This window comes from Homo sapiens, chromosome 12 (assembly GCF_000001405.40).
Source record: "Homo sapiens chromosome 12, GRCh38.p14 Primary Assembly".
Classification (NCBI taxonomy): Eukaryota; Metazoa; Chordata; class Mammalia; order Primates; family Hominidae; genus Homo; species Homo sapiens.
Window position 1 is genome coordinate 22,884,454 of NC_000012.12, and position 27,116 is coordinate 22,911,569.

General features: G+C 35.0%; 1 long non-coding RNA gene across 13 annotated transcripts in view; it reads left to right on the forward strand.

Annotated features, from left to right (window-relative positions):
* LINC02955 (long intergenic non-protein coding RNA 2955) overlaps positions 1–27,116 on the forward strand; it is a 491,729-nt gene that overhangs the window by 184,595 nt on the left and 280,018 nt on the right. For 11 of the 13 annotated variants that reach the window (NR_187514.1, NR_187512.1, NR_187515.1 and 8 more), the window contains one exon: positions 3,511–3,591. This is a non-coding gene — a long non-coding RNA (long intergenic non-protein coding RNA 2955). Of the gene's footprint in view, positions 1–3,510; positions 3,690–27,116 lie in introns of all 13 variants that reach the window. The other 2 variants (NR_187511.1, NR_187513.1) reach the window with 1 other exon arrangement.

Consider the following 27,116-nt stretch of genomic DNA (forward strand, 5'->3'; position numbering starts at 1 on the left):
CTCTTTTTGGAAGATTTTATTGCTTAAAAGCAATGTAGTTCAGGACACCTACTAGAATACTAAAACCTTGATTATTTACAATTAAGTAACACTGGTTCGAATATTTTATTTCTTTTCATTTTGGATTATTTTCATCATGTTTAGTAGCAACATCAGTGAAGCTGCCATGGTATAATACACAATTTATTTTGGAATAGCAGAGAAGCTCATCTGTATAACGAGAGTTAATATGGTGGTTCAAACTCTACAAAGTTTACAATTTTATTATGTCAAAAATTAACATAAAATCTTGTCAAATTTAGGGAAATTTATATTGGTGGAATGAAAATTTTTAAAAATTGTTGATTTCTCTGCTTAATTCCATACAATGTGTACTAAATATAAATTCATGTATCTAGTCATGTAAAAACTCACTGAATCCCCATCATGTACAAGACAGTTTCATGTCTTTCCTCAACTGGCTCACATTTCTAGGAGAGGAGATAAGGTGAAGCACAAGTAATAGTCATATAAGCCAGTTAATGGCGTTAGAGTTCAAAGCAGGGAGTGGTCACTTTCAGATCAGCAAAGGACTGTTTCATGAAGAAAGTGCTAGAGGTATAGAACCATAAATTTCTGAAATGAAAGGGCTTTTTATTGTACAGGTGAGGAGACCAAGGCCAGAAAGTGTAAAAACTTGTCTGAAGTCATGTTATAAAAATATGATAGCACTTAATTAGTTAGAAACCAGGTTCCATAACTTTTTGTCTAATGGATCTTTTAAAATTGTGGCTTTACTGAAGTGTAATTCACATACCATAAATTTACATTTTTAAAGTGTACAATTCAACATTTTTAAGTATATTTATAAAGTTGTGCGACTATTAACATTATCTAACTTGAGAACTCCAAAAAGAAACTCTGTACCCTTAAGGTATCTGTTAAGGCATTTGTCCCATTTTTCAAGTGGTTTGTTTGTTTTCTTCTTGTTGAGTTTTAAGAGTTCCTCATATATTTTGGTTAACAGTCCTTTGTCAGAAGTATCTTTTGCAAATATTTTCTCCCATTGTGTGGTTTGTCTTGTTCTCTAGACATTTTCTTTCATAGAGCAGAAAATTTAATTTCCATGAAGTCCACCTTGTCAATTAATTCTTTTATAGATTATGCCTTTTGGTGTTGTTTCTAAAAAGTCATTACCATACACAAGGGCATCTAGGTTTTCTCCTATGTTTCTTTCTAGGAGTTTTATAGCTTTGAATTTTACATTTAAGTCCATGATTCATTTTGAGTTCATTTTTGTGAAGGGTGTAAGGTCTGTCTAGATCCATTTCTTCGCATGTGGATGTCCAGTTGTTCCAGCATCACTTGTTGAAAAGATCACTTTTTTTTTTTTCCATTTCATTGCCTTTTCTCCTTTGTCAAAGATCAGTTGGCCTTATTTATGTGGGCCTCTTTCTGTACTCTCTATTCTGTTCCATTGATTTATTTGTCTGTTCCTTTACTAATACCACACTGTCTTAACTACTGCAGATTTAGAGTAAGTCTTGAACTCAGGTAGTGTTGATTCTCTGACTTTGTACTTCTCTAGCATTGTGTTGGCTATTCTGAGTTCTCTGATTCTCCATATAAGCTTTAGAATCAGTTTGTTGATATCTACAAAATACCTTTCTGGGATTTTGATCAGGATTGTATTGAATCTATAGATCAAGTTGGGAAGAACTGACATCTTGACAATATTGAATCTTCTTATCCATGAACATAGAACATCTCTCCATTTACTTAGTTCTTCAGTTCCATTAATCAGAATTTTGCAGTTTTCCCTACATCGATATTGTAGATATTTTGTTAAATTTATATCTAAATATTACATTTTTGGAAGTGCTAACATAAACAGTAGTGTGCTTTTAATTTCAAATTTACTTGTTCATTGCTGGTATTTAGGAAAGCAGTGGACTTTTGTATTTTTTCATGTATCTTGCAATCTTGCTATAATTGCTTATTAGTTCCAGCAGGGTTTTTTTTTGGTGGGGTGAGGGGGGGGGTCGATTCTTTCAAATTTTCGACATAGTAATCAAGTCACCTGTGAACAAAGTTTTATTTCTTCCTTCCCCATCTGTCTGCCTTCTATTTTTTTTCTTGTCTTGCTGCATTAGTTAGGAACTGCAGTAAAATGTTGAAATAAAGTAACCAGGGACATCCTTGCCTTACTTCTGATCTTAGTGGGAAAATTTCTTACCATTAAGTATGATGTTAGTTGCAGGTTTCTGTAGATTTTTTAAAGTTGAGGCATTTCCTCTAATCTCTAAATTATTGAGAATTTTAATTATAAATGGGTGTTGGATTTTGTCAAATGATTTTTCTGCATCTATTGATAAGATCATGTGAGTTCTTTTCTTAGCCTGTTGATATGATGGATTACGTTAATTTTTGAATGTCAAACAAATTTTGCATACCTGGGATAAATACAACTTTGTTGTGGTGTTTAATTTGTTTTATATATTGTTGGATTTGATTTGCCAATGTTTTGTTGAAGACTTTTGTATCTATGTTCATAACAGATATTGTTTTATAGTCTTATTTTCCTGTACTGTCTTGGTTTTGGTATTAGAGTAATTCTGGCTTCATAGAATGAGTTAGGAACTACTAATATTTCCTCTCCTTCTTTCCTGAAAGAAATTTTAGAAAATTGGTATAATTTCAAAACTTTTGGTATTATATCTAAAAGACCATTGACCAATTCAATGTTACAAAGATTTAACCCTATGTATCTTTAAGAGTCTTATAGTTTTAGATCTTACTTTTAGGTTTGTAATCTATGTGGAGTTAATTTTTGGGTATGGTGGGAGGTAAGAATCCAATTTAACTCTTTTGCATGTAGATATCCCATAGTCTCAGTCCCATTATTTGAAAAGACTATTTTTTTTTTCCCATTGAGTAGTCTTGGTGCTTTTGTTGAAAATCAGTTGACCATAAGTATGAGGGTTTACTTTTGGATTTTCAGTTCTCTACCATTTAACTATATATCTATTCTTATGCCAGTATCACACAATTGATTACTGTAGCTTTAGAGTAAGTTCTGGATTTAGGAAGTGTGACTTCTCTAATTTTTTCTTTTTTTCTAGATTATTTTAGTTATTTGAAGAACATTACCACCTTAGCAATATTACATTTTCAACCACAAACTTGGGATATGGTACATCTTTCTATTTATGTTTCATCTTTAATTTCTGGGTGTTTTAAATTTTTATTAAAACTTGCTAAACTTGCAATGCTCCTGCCTCAGCCTCCTAAGTAGCTGTGGCTATAGGTACATACCACCATGCCTGGCTTATGTCTTCTTACATTTTTTTAAATGATGTTTTATAGTTTACAGGTCCAAGACATATTTTGTTAGATTTATTTCTAAGGATTTTATTCTTTTTGATGCTAATATTAATTGAATGCTTTCTTAATTTTATTTCCAAAAGGTTCATGGCTACCATATAAAAATACAACTGACTTGTGAATATTTATCTTGACTCTGTAATCTAGATGAGAAAACAGAAGCAAAGGCAGAAAGATGCTACATTGCCAGCTTTGAAGATGGAGGGAAGAGGTCACAAACCAAGGAAGGTGAGTGGTGCCTAGAAGTTGGAAAAGACATGGAAACACATTCTTCTGTAAAGCACTTAGAAAGAAATACAGTCTTCCAAAATGTTGATCTTAGCCAGGTAAGACCTGTGATTAACTTCTACTACATATAACTATAAGAAAATAAATTTGTATTGTTTAAGCCACTAGGTTTGTTGTGCATTTTAATAGCACCAATAGAAAATTAATACATCATGGAGGTATTTTTCTACACTTTATTCTGTTGGCTTTTTCACCTTTTCATTTAGATCTTTAACTCATTTGAAGTTCTTCTTGTATGCGAGGCCAGGATAGAAGCCTAGCTTTATTTTTCTCTATATAGTGAGATTTTTTTTTTCCAGTGCCATCTACAACTTGGCTTTCCTCACAATTTGATGTTGTCATTTTAACCATGTTTCAAATTCCCATATAGTCCTGTGTCTATGTTCTATATTTGTTTTCATTGTTGTATTTTTGTGTTGCTGTAAATTATCACCTTGTTTTTGTCACTGTAAATTTTAGACACACTTGTTTTAGTATCTGGCAGGGAAAATTTCCAAACCTTATGCTATGGTTTAAATATGTCCCCCAAAAAGTATATTGGAAACTTAAATACCTCCCACTATACCCCACCTCTCAATACTGTTGCAGAGGGCTCATTTATGAGGGCTCCACCCTCATAAATGAATTAATGTTGATTATAAAAGGGCTTGAGGCTGTGAGTTCAATCTCCTGTGTACTCTCTCTCCCCCTTTTCCCTCTCTTGCCCTTTTGCCTTCCACTATGGGATGATGCAGCAAGACGGCCCTCACCAGATGCCAGCACCTCCTGTGATATTGGACTTTCCAGCCTCCAGATTCATGAGAAATAAATTTCTATTGTTTATAAATTACCAAGTCTATGGTATTCTGTTATAGTAGCACAAGATGGACTAAGACACTTTTTTCTTTTTTTAAATGTTGAATTGACTATAAAAATTAATTCATATTTTAAAATATAGAATTTGTTAAATTCTTTAAAACAACAGAATTTCTATTTAAAATATCCTGTAGGGATGATTTTAGATAGATTTATTTTAGGAGAATTGAAATGTTTTCTATGTTAAATCATTTTATCCATGAACATGGTATATGTCTCCATTTATTTAAATGATTTGTGAACTTTAATAGTTCTTTCTGTAGAAGTATTTGACACTTCTGTCTCATTAAGTCAGTCTGCTTATGGTGTTAAGATGTCTTTGATCTCTTATCTTAATTTGTTCTATTATGTTATAATCTGCATGTAATGAGGGACATCTTTGGCTCATCTTTGATCTCACTCCCTTCCCCTTTGAGGAAAACTCAGTTATTTGTTGTCACATATCAAAATAAATCCCAACTACAAATGTATTGGCCAATAAAATTAATTTTGCATGTTTCATAGATAGGCAGAGACAAAGATCCACATCACATTACCCAGAAATTTAATAATATTACCTAGCAGGCATTTCTGTTCAGCTAAGTTTTCTTTTTTGCACTCGAGTAATTGAGCTCTTTCTCCCTCAATGTTGCCTTTAAACAGAACAATGTTGTTTCAGTGTGTCTGACTGTACGTTTCTTATATACATCACTAAACACTATCTTTACTATTGGGAATGATCATTTTATGGAGGATGATGTAGATCTGAACAAATAATAGGCCTTCTTAAGCATCTATTCTTCTTAGAAGGATGAGAGTTCTATAAATATTTATAGTTTTTATCCTATCACTTGTAATTTATGTTGCCAACTATTGAATGAGCTATTCTGTGTTTTCCAGAACCTCCTTTACATTCACTTCTATTTAAGTCCACCTATACTTACCCCATTGGGCTACGTACTTTAACAGAAAATGGCCTAAAATAAAACTGTTTGAGGCCTGCCTCTTACAGTTGCCAGTTATGAGCCATGAATACAGGTTTTCACCCTCACCTCCTTTTAGCTTTCTCTTTTGTAAAGTAGGGTTGGTAAAAGAATGTGCTTTATAGAGTTTCTTTGAAAATTAGATAAAATAATGCTTATAAGCTCTCAATACATTGGTGGCATTTGATGAGTCCTCCACAATTTTTAATGATTATATTTTTATGATTTTCATGTATATTATTCTGACCTTTCTTTCTGTTCCAGCTAGCAGAAGCTTTCTCAAACAACTTGAGTCTCTTACAATTATAAGTAAAGAGGCTTTAAGAAATGTAAGCAGAATTATCCTCTTCTAATATTGGAGCATTTGGGGACTATGAAAGAGTAGGGACTTTATTACAGTTCTAGGAAAGCCTGTCTAACCACTCTTCCCCAATTCTGGTGAGCAATTTAAAACTCTGAGACTCCTCTGGGGGTAGTACAAAAGTTGCTGTGGTGATGTTGGTGGTGGTGGGGTGTTCTCCAACTGGTGGTCAGATCCAGTATCTTGAGGAAAGCCTGAGGATCTATGCTCAATAATTAGAGACAGTCCAGTTATTAGCGTGAGGGACAGAGAAACATATAACTCTAAAAGCAGAAAAGATATTTTGTGGACGAAAATAAGCAGGTTGTCATTTTTCCAAATTTACATGTAGCATTCGTGACAGTATAAATGTTCTAGTCTCCTGACTTCTAATCTGGTGCTATTTCACTCGATCCTGCTGCTTCCTTCAACACTCCTCCCTACTCTCTGTAATAGGTCTTAGAGAAGTAAGACTCATTTATCTCACTACAGAAAGATTTCTTAAAGAAAGAATTTGGGACCAAACAATCAAATGCTGAGGTTGGCACTGATTGGTTTTAGATGACTATGGGGGTTCAATATTGGGATCCAGCATCCTCACCTGGATAAAAAGGGGCAGATCTAAATCACAGTACATAAACTCAGGTGTGCAAAAAAAACATCGCTTTCCTTTATTTTTGCATTTTATTCTTTTAAAGAAAAATAATTCAAACTTTCATTTTAGATTCAGGGGGTACATGTGCAGGTTTGTTACATGGTTATATTGCACAATGCTGAGGTTTGGGGTACAAATGATCCCATCATTCAGGCACTGACCATAATATCCAACAGTTCATTTTTCAACCCTTACCTCCCTTCCTTCTTCCCCTGTCTTGTTGTCCCCAGTGTCTACTGTTCCCATCTTTATGTTCATGAGTACCCAATGTTTAGCTCTCCCTTATAAGTGAGAACATGCAGTATTCTCTTCCTGTGTTAATTTTCTTAGGATAATGGCCTACAGTTCCATCCATGTTACTGCAAATGACATGATTTTATTCTTTTTATGGCTGCATATACTCCATGGTGTATATGTACCACATTTTCTTTATGCAATCCACCATTGATGGGCACCTAGCTTGATTCCATATCTTTGCTATTGTGAATAGTGCTGCAATGAGCATACAAACACATGTGTCTTTTTGGTAGAATGATTTATTATTTTTGTGGCTATACATGTAGCAGTGAAATTGCAGGATCTAATGATAGTTCTGTTTTAAGTTCTTTGAGAAATCTCCAAAGTGCTTTCCACAGTGGATGAACTAATTTACATCCCTACCAACAGTGTATAAGCATTTCCTTTGCTCTGCAGCCTTGCCAGCATCTGTTGTTTTTTGACTTTTTATTAATAGCCATTCTGACTGGTGTGAGATGGTATCTTATTGTGGTTATAATTTATATTTCCCTGATAATTAGTGATGTTGAGTATTTTTGCATGCTTGTTGGCCATCTGTATGTCTTCTTTTGAGAAGTGCCTGTTCATGTCCTTTGCTCATTTTTTAATGGGGTTATTTGTTTTTTGATTTTTGTGTTGTTTAATGTCTTTATAGATTCCGGATATTAGCCCTTCGTTGGATGCAAAGTGTGTGAATATTTTTTCCCACTCTGTAGGGTGTCTGCTTACTTTGTTGATAGTTTCTTTTGCTGTGTGGAAACTCTTTAGTTTAATTAGGTCCTACTTGTCAATTTTTGTTTTTTTGCAATTGCTGTTGAGGACATAGTCATAAATTCCTTCCCAAGGCTGATGTCCCAAATGATGTTTCCTAGGTTTTCTTTTAGGATTCTCATAGCTTGAGGTCTTACATTTAGATCTTTAATCCATCTTGAGTTAATTTTTCCATACAGAGAAAGGTAGGGGTCCAGTTTTATTCTTCTGCACATGGCTAGCCAGGTAGCTCATCACTTACTGAATAGGAAGTCCTTTCCCTATTGCTTATTTTTATCTACTTTGTCAAAGATTAGATGGCTACAGGTGTGTGGCTTTTTTCTTCTTCTGGGTTTTCTATTCTGTTCCATTGGTCTCTGTAACTGTTTTTTTGTACAAGTACCATGTTGTTTTGGTTACAGTAGCCGTATGGTACAGTTTGAATTTGGGTAATGCAATGCCTTTGACTTTTTTCTTTTTGCTTAAGATTGTTTTGGGTATTCAAGCTCCTTTTTTGGTTCCATGTGAATTTTAGAATAGTTTTTTCAAGTTCTGTTAAAAATGACAATATTTTGGTAGTAATTGAGTTGAATCTGTAGCTTGCTTTGAGCAGTATGACCATTTAAAAAATATTGATTATTCCAATCCATGAGCAAGGAACATTTTTTCATTAGTTTGTGTCATCTATGATTTCTTTCAGCAGTGTTTTTAGCTCTCCTTGTAGAGATCTATCACCTCCTTGGTTAAATGTATTCCTAGGTATTTTATTTTCTTGTTGGCTTTTGTAAGTGGGACTGCATTCTTGCTTTTGCTCTCAGCTTGGACATTATTGATGTATAGAAATGCTACTGAAAAATATCAGTTTCTTAATTTAACACAGCCTAATTGATTAATTTGATACCTGATCCTGTCAGGTAGATAAGACATTCTATCTCAGTTATTATTTGAACCCTCTTCATTTCCTTGTCTTTCCTCTTGCTATCTCTTTCTACCTTTTTCCCTCTGTCTTCAAGAGTATCATCAGAATTCAGAGGGCTTATAACATACCTAGAACCTAAGAAAAGTGTCTCTGATTTCTAGTCTATTATAGTAGCCACAGATATTGTTCAAATAGCTAGCAGTCACTTGAAGCTGGTGGGGGGTCTTCTGCATCTGCTGTTTTACAGGTAAGAGAAACTTTCCCAAAGCTGGGCAATTTAGTGCATGGGTCTTACCTTTCTAGGCAAACTATACTATTCTTTGCTCTGGGGGCTGCCCATTTCCTCTGAGAGTAGCCACAGACAGGGGTAAAGGGAACTATGGTTTTTAATTCCTTTCCAGTCTGAGGTCCTTCTTCCCTACCTCTCTTACCTTAAACTGGCATCTCTTCTAATTTTTCACAATAGACTGTTAATGTACATTGAACACAAAGGCCAAATTATTATCAATCTAAAAACTACCACTCAACCTACAAATTACCTTACAAACAGTGAAGTAAGAAGAAATAGTTGATTTTATCCTTCTAGTGCAACAAAGAAAGACAATGAACATAACCACTAGGTTTATATGTTAATAGAGTCTGAATATTCATTTCTTGCTACAAAAATGAAGTAAGATAGTACAACTTTGAAATGTAAACCTCATATTACAAAGTTCTTTTATGCTGGTTAGTGAGAAGTGCTAATTAACACTCATGTTTTTAGATTATTACAACTATTAAATTTATTTGCAGTAATAATAAATTCATCAGTTATATGAAGGCTTTTTATATGAAAGATTTAGAGCAATTACTTTTCATGTCCACTAAGGATGACAGAAGAGCCCATGGTCTTAAAGGAAACCAGCAATAGTTTAGCTTATACATAATTAAATGGCCCAAAAGACAAGTCTAGGGTGTCATCATAACTAAGGAGGAAAAAGAACATAAAGTGGTCATTCTGATGAGGCTCTAAATTTATTTAGAGTGTGACTTGAGCTTGGCACAGTTTGATAGTCTACTGATATTAGCCTGGATTGAAGAAAAATTATTAAAAACCAGGAAACAAGACAAAAACATGATTGCATGTCCTTTCAATATCACTGGAGCGTTGCCTAATAGGCCCAGGCAAGATGAAGTATGTTTGTTTTACTTACTATTTACTATTGATTAGAACACAGAAACTGCGAAGTTAATTGTTAACTTGTAGCTTTTGGTCCATTAGAAGCAAATGATTTCTGCCAGGTAGAGAAGATCCCAAAGGTTATGGATGTATTGCCTGGCAGGATACTAACTGGTATGTCCAACTTGGCAAGTTAATTTTAACATCCCTTTCCTAACTGACTGTATAAATCTTTATTTCTTCAATTCTGTGTTTGATGCAGCTTTACTATCTTGCTGGTTCCCTCATTAATGAATTAAATAAATCTTTGATTTGTGCTCATTCTAAATTTGTATGAGAGCCCTGCTGTTAATTTTTCGAGAATTATACTTTAACAGTGGGGAATCAAGAGAACTGATTTTCTGGCAAATTAAGTGTGTGTGTGTGTGTGTGTGTGTGTGATATAAGAAGTAGAAATCCACAAAATAGATGTATATATGTCTGTGGTTATATTAAAATAGATGACCTCAGAGTAGAGCAGGAGTGGGTAGTGAGAGGCAAACAACAAAAAAGAAAAAATGAAAGAGAGAAGTATTGAACAAAAAAATACTGCTTTGACAACTCCCCAATATGTATGATTTTACCCCTTAATATAAAATCACATATTTATGTATATGCATAAATTTTTAGAATGTATGAAACACATATATTTGTAGAGCTGTCAAGTGAAAAAGGCAAACAGCAGAGAAAAGAGTGTAAAGTATATATATTATGATTCAATACTGGAGTGTAAACAGAAAATATAAACAAATACCCTGTAGATGTCTATTTATGCTGTATGTGTGTGTATCTATTATCTATCTATCTATCTATCTATCATCTATCTATTATAGATATCTATCTATAGATAGGTAGATGGTTATAAATAACAAGAAAGTTTTGCAAGGAGTCCATACAAATCTATTGGATTTGTAATCAGTTGGAAACCTGACATAGGTGGAATGGAGAATAGAGTAGGGTGGAGAGGAAAGATAATGTCTTCACTTAAATTATCCTTATATTGTTGATTTTGTTAGAAAAAGTGTAAACTTGCTGGAAGACATCAAATAAAAGTTTAAAGTGTATACATGTATAAATAAAAAGTTTTTAGAAATAAAATAAAACTGCTCAGCAGTAATTATAATGTAAGTCAGCATTGCTTTGCAACAAGCTGTGGAATGGGACCCTCTCTGGCCCTCAGTTTCTTCAATTATGAAATGATAAGGAGGGAGTATTTAAACGCTAAAGCATTCAAATTCTATAGTTGGTTGAAAATTGTTTTCTGAGATTTAAATAAACTATGAAATTAACTTTTAAAATGTCAAAAAATAGAAGAAGGATGAATGTACTTAAGTCAAGAAGAAAGGAATGAAAGAAGTAAAGAAGTTAGGAAGTTAAGAAGACAGGGAGGGAAGGAGAAAGAAAGGGCCATTTAGAAAATCTTGATTTGGTGTTTTCGTCGTTTTGCCAGTTTGTATATAGTTGCTGGAACACAATTACTGTTGTAGCCTCTACTTTGCTTTTGTTCAATTATCCTTATGGTGGCAGAGCTTTTGCAACAAAGAGTGTGTTTCTTTTTTTCATGCAAGAATTCACTTCTAAGAAGTAAATTAACTGGTTATTTGGGCATCCATGGACAAGACTTTTTTTTTCTGCTAAAGGTTAGGGGAAATCAACATTTTTCCACTAATCAGTGAAATTTCATAACTGACACACACCTAGAGTAATTATTCTCCCACAGTTGTTTTGTGAACTCCCTCCCCCAGTCTCACTTTTTTTATGTGATTTGTCCAGTTGAATTATGCTAAATATTTTCTGGATTTTCAAAACATTTAAGTAGCTAATTTTTACACAGCCTATTGGGCATTTGCTGACTCAAATTTCCAAGTTAGATGGCTTTTCCTAGCTGATAATTACTTAAGTAAAAGACAAGTAGAAAACTTAGCTTTTATATTTGGTACTTCCATACATCACAAATAATAAATTTTATAGAAAATGAAAGCATGTATTCATTGTGTTAATTAATGGGTAAAAATAGAACCCAAAACTAAAATTAGAAAATTATAGTACACTTGCATACACTTTTACACTGGCATATTAAGTGGATCATGTCATATTTTTATCTACAGTTTTACCCAGATTTCTGGAATACAATGCATTTTTCCTTTGATTTAAGGGTTAAAACTAATGCTACTGGTAATTTCAACACCATCATCCAAGTTCCAGATGTCTCCTTTCAGATACATGCCAAAATTAAATGCAGATTTTGCTAAAACATACAAGCTATTCTTTTAATCTGCAAGCATTTCTAGTTCTTACTAATAAGTTCTTCCATCTTTAATCTACCTTCTACTAATCGTCCACTTATAGCAGCACTCTCCATTGACCCAGCGATTAAACCCTCAACAGTTAATCCTAGATTCAAACACCTAGAGCTACAGGGTTTTTGTTGTTGTTGTTGCTTTTAATACTTTACTAATTCTTAGTAAAGTCTTCCAATTCATTTTCCATTTTCCTGGTGGGAAAAGAGAAACCAATTCACTGCCAAAAGCATTCCATATTAGATACTAAACGAAGTCAGGTAGCAGCTGTCTAATCTAAACTTTGGTGGATAATTAGCAAATCCAATATCCAAAAGAAACAGGTAATTGTTGTGATTCATGAATTTGTTGCCAGGGCAGATATTTTACAGCTCAAATATCTTTCCCTAAAGAAGGAAGCTACCTAGAGCTTTGAGCAGTAAAATACTGTTTTCTCCCTATTTAAAGAGAATTGCTGTTTACTTTGGGGATGTTCTTGGCATTCAGCTACTTTTTTCTTCCTCTTCTTCATATTTTTTCTTGATGATGTTCAGAAAACCTATGAAGTATAAAACTTCATTCAGGCAGAAATTCCAACTATTCATCATTGCTTTGATTCATCAGAGTCCAGGAGGACACTGTAGACTGGAATAGTGTGATTTGCAAAGAGGAGTCACTAACACATTGGGATACCGTAACATGAGGTAAAAACATTTTGTCTATTTGAGGTCGATTTAAGGTAGAGCTTTCCAAATGAGAGAAATCTAACAAAGCACTCCTTCCAAAGACAAAAAAGTGAAGTAAGGTTTTTTCATCATGCTTTTGGATATTTACTCCATTGCATGCTCCCCACTTCTATTCCAATTTTCTTGTCTCTCTCACATGCCCAGTTCTCTTGGCACACACTTTCTTCTCTCCTTACACCACCCCGGCTTTCCTACCCTGCCTAAGCTGTGATACTACCTTATTCTTTAAGACACTTTTCTGCCTTTTCTGGTCTGATAAATGCATCTGTGTGTACATATCATTAGAAAGAAATGCCCCTTTGGAACTTCTAATCATTCTGGTCAGTTTTAAATACAAACATGAGAAAATGTTATACAAATTTCAGACCTTCTAAAAAAAAAACTTGATGTCCAGGATTGAAGGGGTTTCTCCCATCCAAAGATAGAACTATCTTTTCCCCTGGCCATTGCTTTTGGAGCCCTGGATAGTTCTCTCCTAAGTCTTATATCCTCTCCAAAGGGCCTTCATATTGCTTGAAGTTCAAAGCAAGTAAGGAAACAGCTTCTGTTTTGTTTTCTCTTTGCCGTCTTTTCCTAAAACTCACACCATTTTTAATGTCTTGGTAAATATATGTAACAGTGTGTGTGGAAAGAAATGGGGAGGGAGAAGAGGCAGGTTGAATGACATGAGTGATTCAAAAATAGTGAAAGAGAAAAAAGACATTTTCTGAAATATGATCTTGGATCTTCAATGGACGAATATTTTTAAAATCCTAGTTTACTTTTTGTGGAATAGAATCTAAAGGATAAACCAATTTCCAAATTATATGCCAAAATAGAAAAATTACCATACCAAATAGAAGCCAAATTGAACACTTAATTGTATAATTACAAAATATGTATTACATTTGCTTTTCTTCATGTTTGAAGAAACTCCTGTTGGAAAATTGGATACTCTGAGTTAAGAACAAAAACAACAGTGAGACATCTAACATTTATAAGTGCTTACTATGTGTAAGGCATAATTATTTTCCTTTTTATTTTGAAACATTTTAAAGTTACAAAAGAATTGAAAGAAAACATGTTCATAAAGTCAAAAAGTCTTAGCAACTAACACCAGCATTCCTCTTAAGGAGAATTTTTTTTTTTTTTTTTTTAGTTTGTGTTTTTTGGTGGAAGTTTCAGAATATTATAACTACCTTGAGAACATGATGTAAAGAGGAAAAAGGCAAAGAGGGAAAAAGTGGGGGGCGGGGGTGAGAAGAGAGAGAGAGAGAGAGAAGGCTTCCATGAAAAAATCAAGAAGAATGGTAGTAGTAAGAAAGAATGAAGAGAAATGAAGGGACACTGAGGGGAAAAAAGAATTGACCAAACCATAAAGTAGAATTAAAGTAAGAATTTGAAAAATGAGGATGTCTAATATCCAATTTAACCTGTTTGGATACAACAGGCATTTTTATTTTTATTAAATCAGAGACAGGCCAGAGGTCAATATCTTTCCTTGAAATTATGAAATAACATGGACTTTGAAGTTAGAGAGTCCTGAGTTCCAGTCTCATGTTCCAATTCTTGACTTCTTATAAGTCATGTCACCATGATCAGGTTGCTCAGTTTCTGTAAGTTTATTTCCTTAGATGTATACAAGTGAAATCACATTTTATAATAATTCTAATAAGTGACAGGCATCAAGTGACATCTGCTCTATGGCAAGTATTCAATAAATAGTCATTCCCTTTCTGTTATGTTGTATTCTGTATAATTCAGGTGAATAGAAGCCCAGTGAAGGGTTTCCTTGTGGGGTGCAGAGTCAAGTGAAAGTACTGGAGGAGTGTATGAATTAAGTTTTTCAAGGACTTCGATGTCTCAAAAGTGTAAAAAACATAAAATTCATCAAAATTTGGTGCCAGATCTAGTTTTATAAATTATTAATTAACAGCAACTATAATACTACTGTTATAGTCCTGCCAATGCACCACAATGTAGCAGTCCCTCATTGTAAGGTATCATCTGGAATTCTTTGTCTCATGACCAAGAGAATTAAGAAGCGTGAACAAAAAAGTGTGAGGTTGGAGCAAAAGTTTAATAAGTGAAAGAAGAAAACTCTCTGCCATGGAGTGGGGGTGCAGAAGAGGGTTGCTGTTTTTACAGTTTAATGCAAAGGCTTTTATAAGAAACCCATGAGGGCTCTGTGTCTCATTTGCATAAGGTGTAAATTTCTGGTAGCTCCACCTTGTCCTCGTAATGTACATGCTGGCCCTTGGCTTGAGTTACTTCATATTGCTTTCTTCTTCTTACTGCGCATGTGTCAGGGGATGGAATTTTTTGACTTACCCAGACATTGCAAGCATGTCTGGGTAAGTCACCTGTGTAGCCTTTCTTATCTGTGACGCTACAGGCATGTCTTAGGCAAGCCCCCCTGTGCAAGTTCCCCTATCTGTGCCTGCAGGCTGTTCTTTTGTTTGAAAGAATTCAATTGAGGATCCACCCTAACTTCCTGCCGCACCAGTTTCTTCCTGCTCCTCTCTCACTATTAATATGTAAATCATATTATATATGACTTCATTTATTATTATTTTCTAACTCTTTATTTTTGGAAGAATTTTAACTCTACAGAAAAGTTGAAAGAAAAGTACTCTTCCTTTATATGTCCTTATATATTTCTCTATATCAGTGGTTCTCAACTAGGGGTGATTTTGCCTCCCAGGGGACATTCAGCAATGTCTGGAGACATTTTTGGTTGTCACAATTGAGGATGCTACTTGCATCTGGTCGGCAGAGGCCATGAGTGCCAACAAATATCCTACAATTCACAGAACAGCCTCCCCCTACAACAAAGAATTAAAACAATGTCAATAGTCCTGAAGTTCAGAAACCCAGATTTAGATTCACTCATATAGTCTTTCTCTATTAGGTTGAACCATATACAATTGTTGATATACAACTATTTTAGGTGTGAAACAATGTCAATTTCAAATGAAATATTTTACACATTCGCAGCACTTTTGATATTTGTTTGTGTGTATTCAATCTATTTTTGCTGAACCATTTTAAAGTAAGTTACAGACATATTTCACTCTTAAGTACTTTAGCATTTATTTAAGAACAAAGATAGTTTCCTACATAAGTGCAACATAATTATCAAAATCAAGATATTTAGGATAAATAAAATTATAGTTAATAGGCCATATTACAACGTTCCCAACTGTCCCCCCAAATGTCACTTATACTCCCTCCCTACTTCCAATCCAGTACTCAATCAGTTCGTCTCATTATTGGTAGGACTACTCTTAATGAAAAACTTTACTGGGATCCCAAAATTGTGAAGTTTCCGTGTTTGCAGAAGTTGTAAAACTAGAAGTGCCAAGCAGATGGAGATGACAGAAAGATCTTAAAAGGTTGTTTAAGTGGGCTGACAAGTGGCAGATGAATTTTAATGCAGACAAGGGTGAGATAATACTCCTAAGGATTATTTTGCATTTGGATTTCAAAAACCCTAATTAAACTTCTTAATTTTTTCCTTTTTAACTGAGAGTTTTGTACCAAGGCTACTTAAAGAACAAGGACAAAAGAAGTCTTTAAAAGATTACTCATTCCTCTCTCCAGCTCTATTTGTTCAGAAAATTAACACCAGAAAAGGAAGCTGTGTAAAGGAGGGAACTTATGCCTGTTTTAGCTGGTTCTTGAAGTAATAAATTCCAATTCTGATAGCTAATATTACAAACCTGTACAGTTTTCCTACGCTCAGAGGTGAATGAATGAAACACTTGAGCATCATCAGTGAGACTGATCTGTATGTGTTGGCATACTTAAGGTTTGTATTCTCTCAGTTGAATGTAGGCTGAATTATTAACTGATAGGTCTTGATCTATCCATTCTAGCTGTTAAACTCTTACCAAAGATGGGGGTCTTGTCTTCCTCCATCAATGTGTGGGTCTTCCATTTTCTCTGTAATCTGGCCTCCTGGCATTGATAGCAAATTTTCTTTTAGTATTTCAGATAATTTCTTAATAGCTCTCCCATCCACACCAACCACTGGAAATAGCATTTCTAACAAGGGCTCTTTTATCATCTTAGTTTGCATAGTATGCATATATGTATATATGTATTCTATGAAAACATTTTAGGTGTACATATATACTATAATATAAATAAATTTCTATTTTTTGGTTATCCTAAAAATAAACCACACTCATAAGCAGCATTTTTTATGGTCTTTCAAATTTACCATTACAAAATATTATAGGTAAAGGCCAATACAATTTAATGGGGAAAAAGAAGAGTGTTTTAAACAAATGGTGTTGGGACAACTGAATATCTACATGCAAAAGCACAAATTTCGACCCCTACCTTATACCATACATAAACATTAATTCAGAGTGGGCCACAGACTTAAATGTAAGAGCTAAAATGATAAAGACCTTAGACAAACATACAGGAATACATCTTCATAATCTTGGGTTAGGTAATAATTTCTTTGATGTGATACCAAAAGCACAGGTGATAAAAGGGAAGAATGATAATTTGGACCTCATTAAAATTTAAAACACTTTTGCTTCAAGGAATACCATCAAGAAAGTGAAAAGACGATCAATGTAATGAAAGAAAATATTTGCATATTATATATCTGATAAGAGACTTATATCCAGAATATATAAAGAATTATTGGCTAGGCAAGCTACCAATGACTTCCTTCACAGAATTGGAAAAAAACTACTTTAAAGTTCATATGGAACCAAAAAAGAGCCCGCATTGCCAAGTCAATCCTAAGCCGAAAGAACAAAGCTGGAGGCATCATGCTACCTGACTTCAAACTATACTACAAGGCTATAGTAACCAAAACAGCATGGTACTGGTACCAAAACAGAGATATAGACCAATGGAACAGAACAGAGCCCTCAGAAATAATACCACACATCTACAACTATCTGATCTTTGACAAACCTGAGAAAAACAAGCAATGGGGAAAGGATTCCCTATTTGATAAATGGTGCTGGGAAAACTGGCTTGCCATATGTGAAAGCTGAAACTGGATCCCTTCCTTACACCTTATACAAAAATTAATTCAAGATGGATTAAAGACTTCAATGTTAGACCTAAAACCATAAAAACCCTAGAAGGAAACCTAGGCAATACCATTCAGGACATAGGCATGGGCAAGGACTTCATGTCTAAAACACCAAAAGCAATGGCAACAAAAGCCAAAATTGACAAATGGGATCTAATTAAACTAAAGAGCTTCTGCACAGCAAAAGAAACTATCATCAGAGTGAACAGGCAACCTACAGAATGGGAGAACATTTTTGCAATCTACTCATCTGACAAAGGGCTAATATCCAGAACCTACAAAGAACTCAAACAAATTGACAAGAAAAAAACAGACATCCCCATCAACAAGTGAGCAAAGGATATGAACAGACACTTCTCAAAAGAAGACATTTATGCAGCCAACAGACACATGAAAAAATGCTCATCGTCACTGGCCATCAGAGAAATGTAAATCAAAACCACAATGAGATACCATCTCACACCAGTTAGAATGGCGATCATTAAAAAGTCAGGAAACAACAGGTGCTGGAGAGGTTGTAGAGAAATAGGATCACTTTTACACTGTTGGTTGGACTGTAAACTAGTTCAACCATTGTGGAAGATAGTGTGGCCATTCCTCAAGGATCTAGAACTAGAAATACCATTTGACCGAGTCATCCCATTACTGGGTATATACCCAAAGGATTATAAATCATGCTGCTATAAAGACACAGGCACATGTATATTTATTGCGGCACTATTCACAATAGCAAAGACTTGGAACCAACCCAAATGTCCATCAATGATAGACTGGATTAAGAAAATGTGGCACCTAGACACCATGGAATACTATGCAGCCATAAAAAAGCATAAGTTCATGTCCTTTGTAGGGACATGGATGAATCTGGAAACCATCATTCTCAGCAAACTGTTGCAAGGACAAAAAACCAAACACCACATGTTCTCACTGATAGGTGGGAATTGAACAATGAGAACACTTGGACACAGGAAGGGGAACATCACACACCATGGCTTGTTGTGGAGTAGGGGGAGGGGGGAGGGATAGTGGGGGGAGGGGGGAGGGATAGTTGGGGGAGGGATATTAGGATATATACCTAATGCTAAATGACAAGTTAGTGGGTGCAGCACACCAACATGGCATATGTCTACGTAAGCAACAAACCTGCACGTTGTGCACATGTACCCTAGAACTTAAAGTATAATAAAAAAAATTAAAGAATTTTTGTCTAGGCGTGGTGGCTCACACCCATAATTCCAACACTTTGGGAGGACAAGGTGGGTGGGTCACCTGAGGTCAAGAGTTGGAGACCAGCCTGGCCAGCATGATGAAACCCCATCTCTACTAAAAAAACAAAATCTAGCCAGGCGTGATGTTGGGTACCTGTAATTCCAGCTACTTGGGAGGCTGAGACAGGAGAATCACTTGAACCTGGGAGGCAGAGGTTGCAGTGAGCTGAGACCATGCCATTGCACTCAGCCTGGGCAACAAGAGCGAAACTCCATTTCAAAAAAAAAAAAAAAAAAAAAATTATTACAGCTAAACAATAAGAAGTCAGGGGCTGTTTCAGCAAGGTGGTGGAATAGGAATTCTCCAGTTCCACTTCCCCCAACAGAAATCCAGCTAGAAACTATCCACAGACAAGAATACCCTAGTGAATATCTTAGAACTCAGGAGTGAGGCTGGGATACCTCCATAGACCACAGAACTGAGAACAGCAGCACATAAAGGTTAAGAGGAGCAACTTTAATTTCACTTAGACCATACTGCCCCTCCCTCAATCCAGCACAGCAGTTTGCTGAGACTCCACTGTTTTTACAGAAGAAGAGAGTTGAAGGTGAACATTCAGCTTCCCTACCAGTCTGGGACCCTTCTCAGGAGGTACTCTCTTGTCTCCCTGCCACACACATAGGAAACATTGGTGGTACAGGCAGCACTAGATCACCTGGGGTCAGTTAGAATCAAAGTACAAGGATGGTGCTCACAGAAACTAATGTAAGGATATTGGCAGTTGCTCGGCATTCCAGCCAGTTGGAGGCATACCATCAGAGAGGCTAGCCAACAATATTGTGTTGCAGGAAGCACGGCTGATGGTTCTCCTAGGCTGGAATCCTTGACTGCTACTACACCCAGCCCTAGCGCTCTCCTTGAAACTTCCCCAGGCCATAAGATAGGGGCAAGTCAGTGATTATTTGCACAAGGAGCCTCTGGTATTGCTTGGTCTCAGTTGCCAAGCTTCAACCCAGCCAAGCCCCAGTGAGCTCCTCAACCCTTCCCTAGCCTGGAAAACAGGGGGAAAGTGGTGATTAGCTTTGGAGGAAGCATCTGGCCCTGCCCAAACTCAGTGGCCAAGTGGCTAAAATATCAAGCCTTGATGATCTGCTTAAGGTTACCTAGAAAAGGAAGCAAGCCCTCCTTGTATCTGTGGAGCATAGCCTCCGCCCTACCCACCCTGAGTGGTTGAGTAGCAATCCCAGAGATCTGGCTCTGCCTTGGAGTCCAGCACATGGCCCTACCAAACTACAGATCTCAAATGATAGTACTGGTTGCCCAGGGAAGAAAACCTACAACATAGCCTGATCAGGGGTGATAGCAGATCCTAGATAGTAGCTCTGCCTCACTGCAAGAGTTCAGCCTGTGATTTCACCAGACTATGGAGAACAGCCTGCATTTCCACTTGACCCAGAACATAGTTAACAGCTCATCCCAATTAGAGAACACCACAGCAAAGTCTGTCTGTCTGGGTTTGCCACCAACTGGCTCAATTAGAATCACAGGCTAGACTACATAGTGAATGTCCACTGCTACCAAAGGCTAGAAGAGTTGTCTGTTTCCTCAAATATGCAGACAACAACACAAGGACACAATAATAAAAAATTAGGACAATACGGCACCACCAAAAGAAACTAATAAACCTCTAATAACAGACTCTAAAGAAAAGGAGATCTATGAAATGACTGACAAACTATTCAAAATAATCCTCTTAAAGAAGTTCAGGGAACTATAGGAAAATGCAGATAGAAAATTAAATAAAATTGCAAAACAATTCTTTAACAAAAAGAGAAGTTTGACAAAGAAATAAAAACAATTAAAAACCTAAATAGAAATGTTAGAGGCAAAGAATACAATCATTGAACTGCAAAATTTAATAGATTCAAGAGCAGACCTGATCAAGCAGAAGAAAGCATCAGTGAACTAGAAGATGGGATATTTAAAATTATTTAGTCAGAGGGGTCAAAAGAAGAAAAAGAATAAAAAAAGAAAAGGTCTCATGGGAATTACGAGACAACATCAACAGAACTAACCGATGCATATTAAGAGTCACTGAAACAACAGAGAAAAAATACCAGAAAAAGATGATAACATCCAGGTACAGAAAGTTCAGAGGTCTCCAATCAAATTCAACTCAGAGAAATTCAAAAGGATACATCGTGATGAAATTATCAAAAGACAAAGACAAAGAAAGAATACTGAAAGCAGCAATAGATAAGAAACACAATCACATTTAAAGAAGTCCCAATATCAGAGGATTTCTTAGCAGAAACACTGGAGGCCAGGAGAGAATGGGATGATAGATTCAAAGTGCTGAAGGAAAGAAACCAAGCATCAAAGAATACTTTGCCTGGCAAAGCTGTCATTCAAAAATGAGGGACAAATAAAAACACCCAGATAATCAAAAGCTAAGACAATTCATCACCATTAGGCCCATACAACAGGAATTGCTAAGGAAGTTTATTAAGTTGAAATGAGCAGCTGATAACTAATAATGTAAAACAAACGAAAATAAAAAAAACAGGCCAGGCGCGGTGGCTCATGCCTGTAATCCCAGCCCTCTGGGAGGCCAAGGCGGGTGGATCACGAGGTCAGGAGATCAAGACCATCCTGGCTAACATGGTGAAACCCCGTCTCTACTAAAAATACAAAAAAAATTAGCCGGGCGTGGTGGTGGGTGCCTGTAGTCCCAGCTACTCGGGAGGCTGAGGCAGGAGAATGGCGGGAACCCGGTAGGCAGAGCTTGCAGTGAGCCGAGATCCCACCACTGCGCTCTAGTGAGACTCCGTCTCAAAAAAAAAAAAAAAAAAAAGAAAAAAACTAAATGGCATATGGAATACATAGTCATATTCAGAATACTTTAAAACTATAAACATTGTGTGTATAACAATTTTATTTTTACTACTAGGGTTAAAAAGATAAAACTATTAAAAACAACTGTAGTTATAATAAATTGTTAAGTATGATGCTAGGAAAACTGAATATTCACATGCAGAATAATGAAACTAGACCCCTATCTGTCAGAATATACAAAAAAAAACACCTCTAAATTGATTAAAGACTTAAATGTAAGACCCAAAACTATGAAAGTACTAGAAGAAAACATAGGGGAAATGCTTCATTACATTGGACTGGGCTAGAATATATTATATATATATGCAATTGACCATTGAACCACATGGGGGGAATTAGCGGTACTGACTCCTTATGCAGTAGAAAAATTTGTATATAGCTTTTGACTCCTCCAAAACTTAACTACTAATAGCCTACTCTTGACTAGAAGCCTTACTGATAAGATACACAGTCAATTAACACATATTTTATATGTTATATGTATTATATACTGTATTCTTAGAATGAATCAAGCTAGATAATATAAAATCTTATTAAGAAATCTATAAGAGAGAGAAAATATATTTATTCACTAAGTGAAAGGTCTTCATCCTCATCTTCTTCATCTTGAGTAGGCTGAGGAGGAGAAATAAGAGGAGGGGTTGGTCTTGCTGTGATTTCAGGATGGCAGAGGCAAAAGAAGATCCTTGTATAACTGTCTCTGCACAGTTCAAATGTGGTTTAAAGGGCAACTGTACATTGGAATACTATTCAGCCATAAAACAGAATGAAATCCTGTAATTTGCAGTTACATGAATGAACCTGGATGACATTATATTAAGTGAAATAAGCCAGGCACAAAAAGATAAATAGTGCCAATTCTCATTCATACATAGAATTTAGGAAAGTTGATCTCATAGAAGTAAAGAGTAGAATAGTGGTTACCAGAGGCTGGTGAGGGTACGGAGGAGGGAAGAATGGAAAGAGGTTGGTCAACAAATGTGAAGTTATAGTTTGACAGAAAGAATAAGTTATGGTGTTCTGTTGCACAATAGGGCAACTATAGATAATAGTAATGTATTGCATATTTCAAGATAGCTAAGAGAGAGGATTTTGAAAGCCATCACCACAAATAAATTATAAATGTTTAAAGTGATAGATATGCTAATTACCCTGATATAATCGTCATACAATATATGCATGTATTGAAACAGCTCACTGTACTAGGCATATAGTATAGTTATTATGTGTCAATTATAAGTAAAACAAAAATAAATTGTTAAGAAATACAAATGATAAAAAAGTAAATTTTGACAGTAAAGCATAAAAGGTGGGGGGAAGGAGTGAAAGTGTAGAGTTCTGTTTGCAATTAAAGTTAAGTTGTTAACAGCTTAAAATAACCTATTTGAAGTTTAAGATTTTATTTTATTTTTATTTATTTTTTTTTTTTGGAGACAGAGTCTCACTGCTCTGTCGCCCAGTCTGGAGTGCAGTGGCATGATCTCGGTTCACTGCAACCTCTGCCTCCCAGGTTCAACTGATTCTCCTGCCTCAGCCTCCCGAGTAGCTGGGATTACAGGTGCATGCCACCATGCCTGGCTAATTTTTTTATTTTTAGTAGAGACGGGGTTTCACTGTGTTAGCCAGGATGGTCTCAATCTCCTGACCTAGTGATCCACTCGCCTTGGCCTCCCAAAGTGCTGGGATTACAAGTGTGAGCCACTGCACCCAACCTTAAGATGTTTTATATAAGCCTCATGTTAACCACAAAGCAAAAACCTATGGTAGATGCATAAAATATAAAAAAGATTTAAAGCAGATCACCACAGAAACCATCAGACTATAAGACAGTGAGAGGAAGAAAAAACAAAGAATCTACAAAACAACCAGAGAACAAATTACACAATGGCAGTAGCAAGTTCTTACCTATCAATAATTACCTTGAATCTAAATGGATTAAATTCAGTCAAAAGACATAGAGTGGCTGAATGGATTTAAAAAAAAAAAGGAAAAAAAAAACAACAAAAAAAAAAACCCAGAAGCTCCAACCATATGCTGCCTACAAGAGACTCACTTCACTAGTAAGGATACACATAGACTAAAAGTGAAGGGATAAAAAAAGATATTCCATGAAACTGAAAACCAAAAGAGAGCAGTGATAGCTATACTTATATCAGATAAAATAGATTTTAAGTAAAAAAAAAACTATAAAAAGAGATAAAGAAGGCCATTATGTAATGATAAAGGGATCAATCATCAAGAAGAAACAACAATTGTAAATAAATACATACCCTGACATTGGAGGACCTAAGTATATAAATTATTAAATGCTCTGAAAGGAGAGATAGATTGCAATACAGTAATAGTTGGGCACCTCAGTACTCCATTTGTAACAATGGACAGATCATCTAGAAAAAAATCAATAAGAAACACTGGACTTGAATTATACTTTAGATCAAATGAACCTAACAGATATATATAGAACATTCAATTCAACAGCAACAGAATACATTTTCTTCTCAAGTGCAGATAGGACATTCTTCAGGCTAGATTGTTAGACCACAAATCAAGTCTTAACAAATTTAAAAGGACTGAAATTATATCATGTATATTTTCTGATCACATGTCATGAAACTAGAAATCTATAACAGGAGAAATCTTGGAAAATTTACAAATATGGAGATTAAATAACATGCTTCTACATAACCAATGAGTCAAAGAAAAAATGAAAAAGGAAATAAATAATACCTCAAGACAAACAAAAATGAAAGCGCAGCATGCCAAAACTTATGGGATGCATCAAAAGCATTCCTAAGAAGGAAATTTATAGCAATAAATGCCAATATCAAAAAAGAATAAAAACCGCAAATAAAAAATCTAATGTTATACTTCAAGGAACCAGAAAAAGAATAAGAATACCAAATTTAGCCCAAAATTAGTAGGAAGAAGGAAATAACAAAGATCACAGACTCTATTTCTAAATGAAATAGAGTCTAGAAAAGCAATAGAAACCAACACAACTAAGAGTTCATTTAGATAAAAGATAAAATAGACAAACCCTTAGCTAACCTAACTAGGAAAAAATAACACATAAATAAAATTAGAATGAAAGTAGAGATATTACAACTGATACCACAGAAATACAAAGGTTTATAGGAAACTATTGTAAACATTTAGACACCAAAAATGGATAATCTAGAAGAAATGGATACATTTCTACACCTGTACAACCCACCAAAGCTGAATCATGAAGAAATAAAACACCTAAGCAGACTAATAATGAATAAAGAGATTGAATCAGTAATAGTCTGCCATCAAAGAATTCAGCTTCGCAGCTGAGTTCTACCAAACATTTGGAAAACTAATACCAATAGTTCTCAAACCTTTCCAGAAAACTGAAGAAGAGGGAATATTTTCAAACTCATTTTATTTTGATTTTCTTTAATTTTTTGAAATTTTAAATTATTATGGATACATACTTGGCTTTGGCATTTTCTAAACACATTTTATGAGGCCAACATTAGCCTGATATCAAAGCTAGGAAAGGACACTACAAGAAAGGAAAATTATAGGTCAATATAATTGATGAAGACAGATGCAAAAATGCTTACCAAAATACTAGCAAACTAAATTCAATGACACCTTAAAAAAATGATTAACTGTAATCAAGTGGGATTTATTCCTAGGATGCAAGGATGGTTCAACATATGCAAGTCAATAAATGTGATTCACCATGTTAATAAAATGAAGAAAAAAATGATCATCTCAATAGATGCAGAAAAGACATTTGACAACATCCAACTCCCTTTCGTGATTAAATTTTTCAAGACAACAGATATAGAGGTAATGTACCTTAACAAAATAAAGCCATATATAACAAACCTGTAGCTAACGTCATATTCAACAGTGAAAAGTTGAAAGCTTTTCCTCTAAGATTAGGAACAAAGACAACCATGCCCATTCCTACCACCTCTTTTCAACATAGTTCTGGAAGTCCTAGCCAGAGCAATTAGGCAACAGAAAGAAAAGCCATCCTAATGGGAAAGAAGAAAACTTGTTTGATGACGATGTGATCTTATATATAGAAAATCCTAATCTCAAAATCTACTAGAATTGATAAGCAAATTCAGTAAAGTTGCAGGATACAATATCAACATAAAAAAACAGTAGCATTACTATGCACTTAATAACAAGCTATTTGAAAAGAAAATTAAGAAAACAATCCCATTTTTTAATAGAAACAACAAAAATAAAATAATTAGGTGCAAATTTAACTAAGGAGGTGAAAGATGTACTGAAAATTATAAAACACTAAAAAATTTGATGAAAATACAAATAAATGAAATGATATCTTGTGTTCATGCATTGGAAGAATTAATATTGTTAAAATTTCCATGCTACCCAAAGCAATCTACAGGTTCAATGCAATTTCCAATGTCATTTTTCACTTTGTTATTTTTTCACAATGACACTGGAAATTTTTCACACTTTACACAAACAGAAAAAAAAAACCTTAAATGCATATGGAATCACAAAGACACCAAATAGCTGAAACAATCTTGAGCAAAAGGAATAAAGCGGGCAACATCATACTACCTGACTTCAAAATATATTATAAAGCAATTATAATGAAAACAGCATGGTACTGGTGTAAAAACAGACAAATCAACCAGTTTAACAAGACAGAAGGCCCAGAAATAAACCCACACATTTACAATCAATTGGTTTTTGACAAAGGTGCCAAGAACACATAATGGGGCAATTACAATCTCACATAAATGATGCTGGGAAAAATGGTTATCCACATGCAGAAAAATAAAATTGGACCCTATATTATACCATGTACAAAATAACTCAAAATGGATTAAAGACTTAAATGTAAGACCTGAAACTGTAAACTACTAGTAGAAAACAGGGGAAAAGCTCCATGCTATTGGTCTGGGCAAGGATTTTTGAATATCATCCTGAAAGCTCAGGCAACAACAGTGAAAATAGACAAATGGGATTGTATCAAACTGAAAAGCTTCTGCACAGCAAAAGAAACAATTACCAAGGTGAAGAGACAACCACAGAGTGGGAAAAACGTATTTGTAAACCATACATCTGATAAAGGGTTAATATCTAAATATATAAGGAACTCAACTCAATAGCAAGAAAACAAATAACCTGATTAAATGATAAGCAAATGACTTGAACAGACACTTCTCAAAAGACATTCAGATGGACAAACAGGTTCATGAAAAAATGCTCAGAAATACTAATCATTAAGGAAATACAAATTAAAACCACAACGAGATATCTCACATCTATTAGAATGGCTCTTATTGCAAAGATGAAAGTTAACAAGAGTTGGGGAGG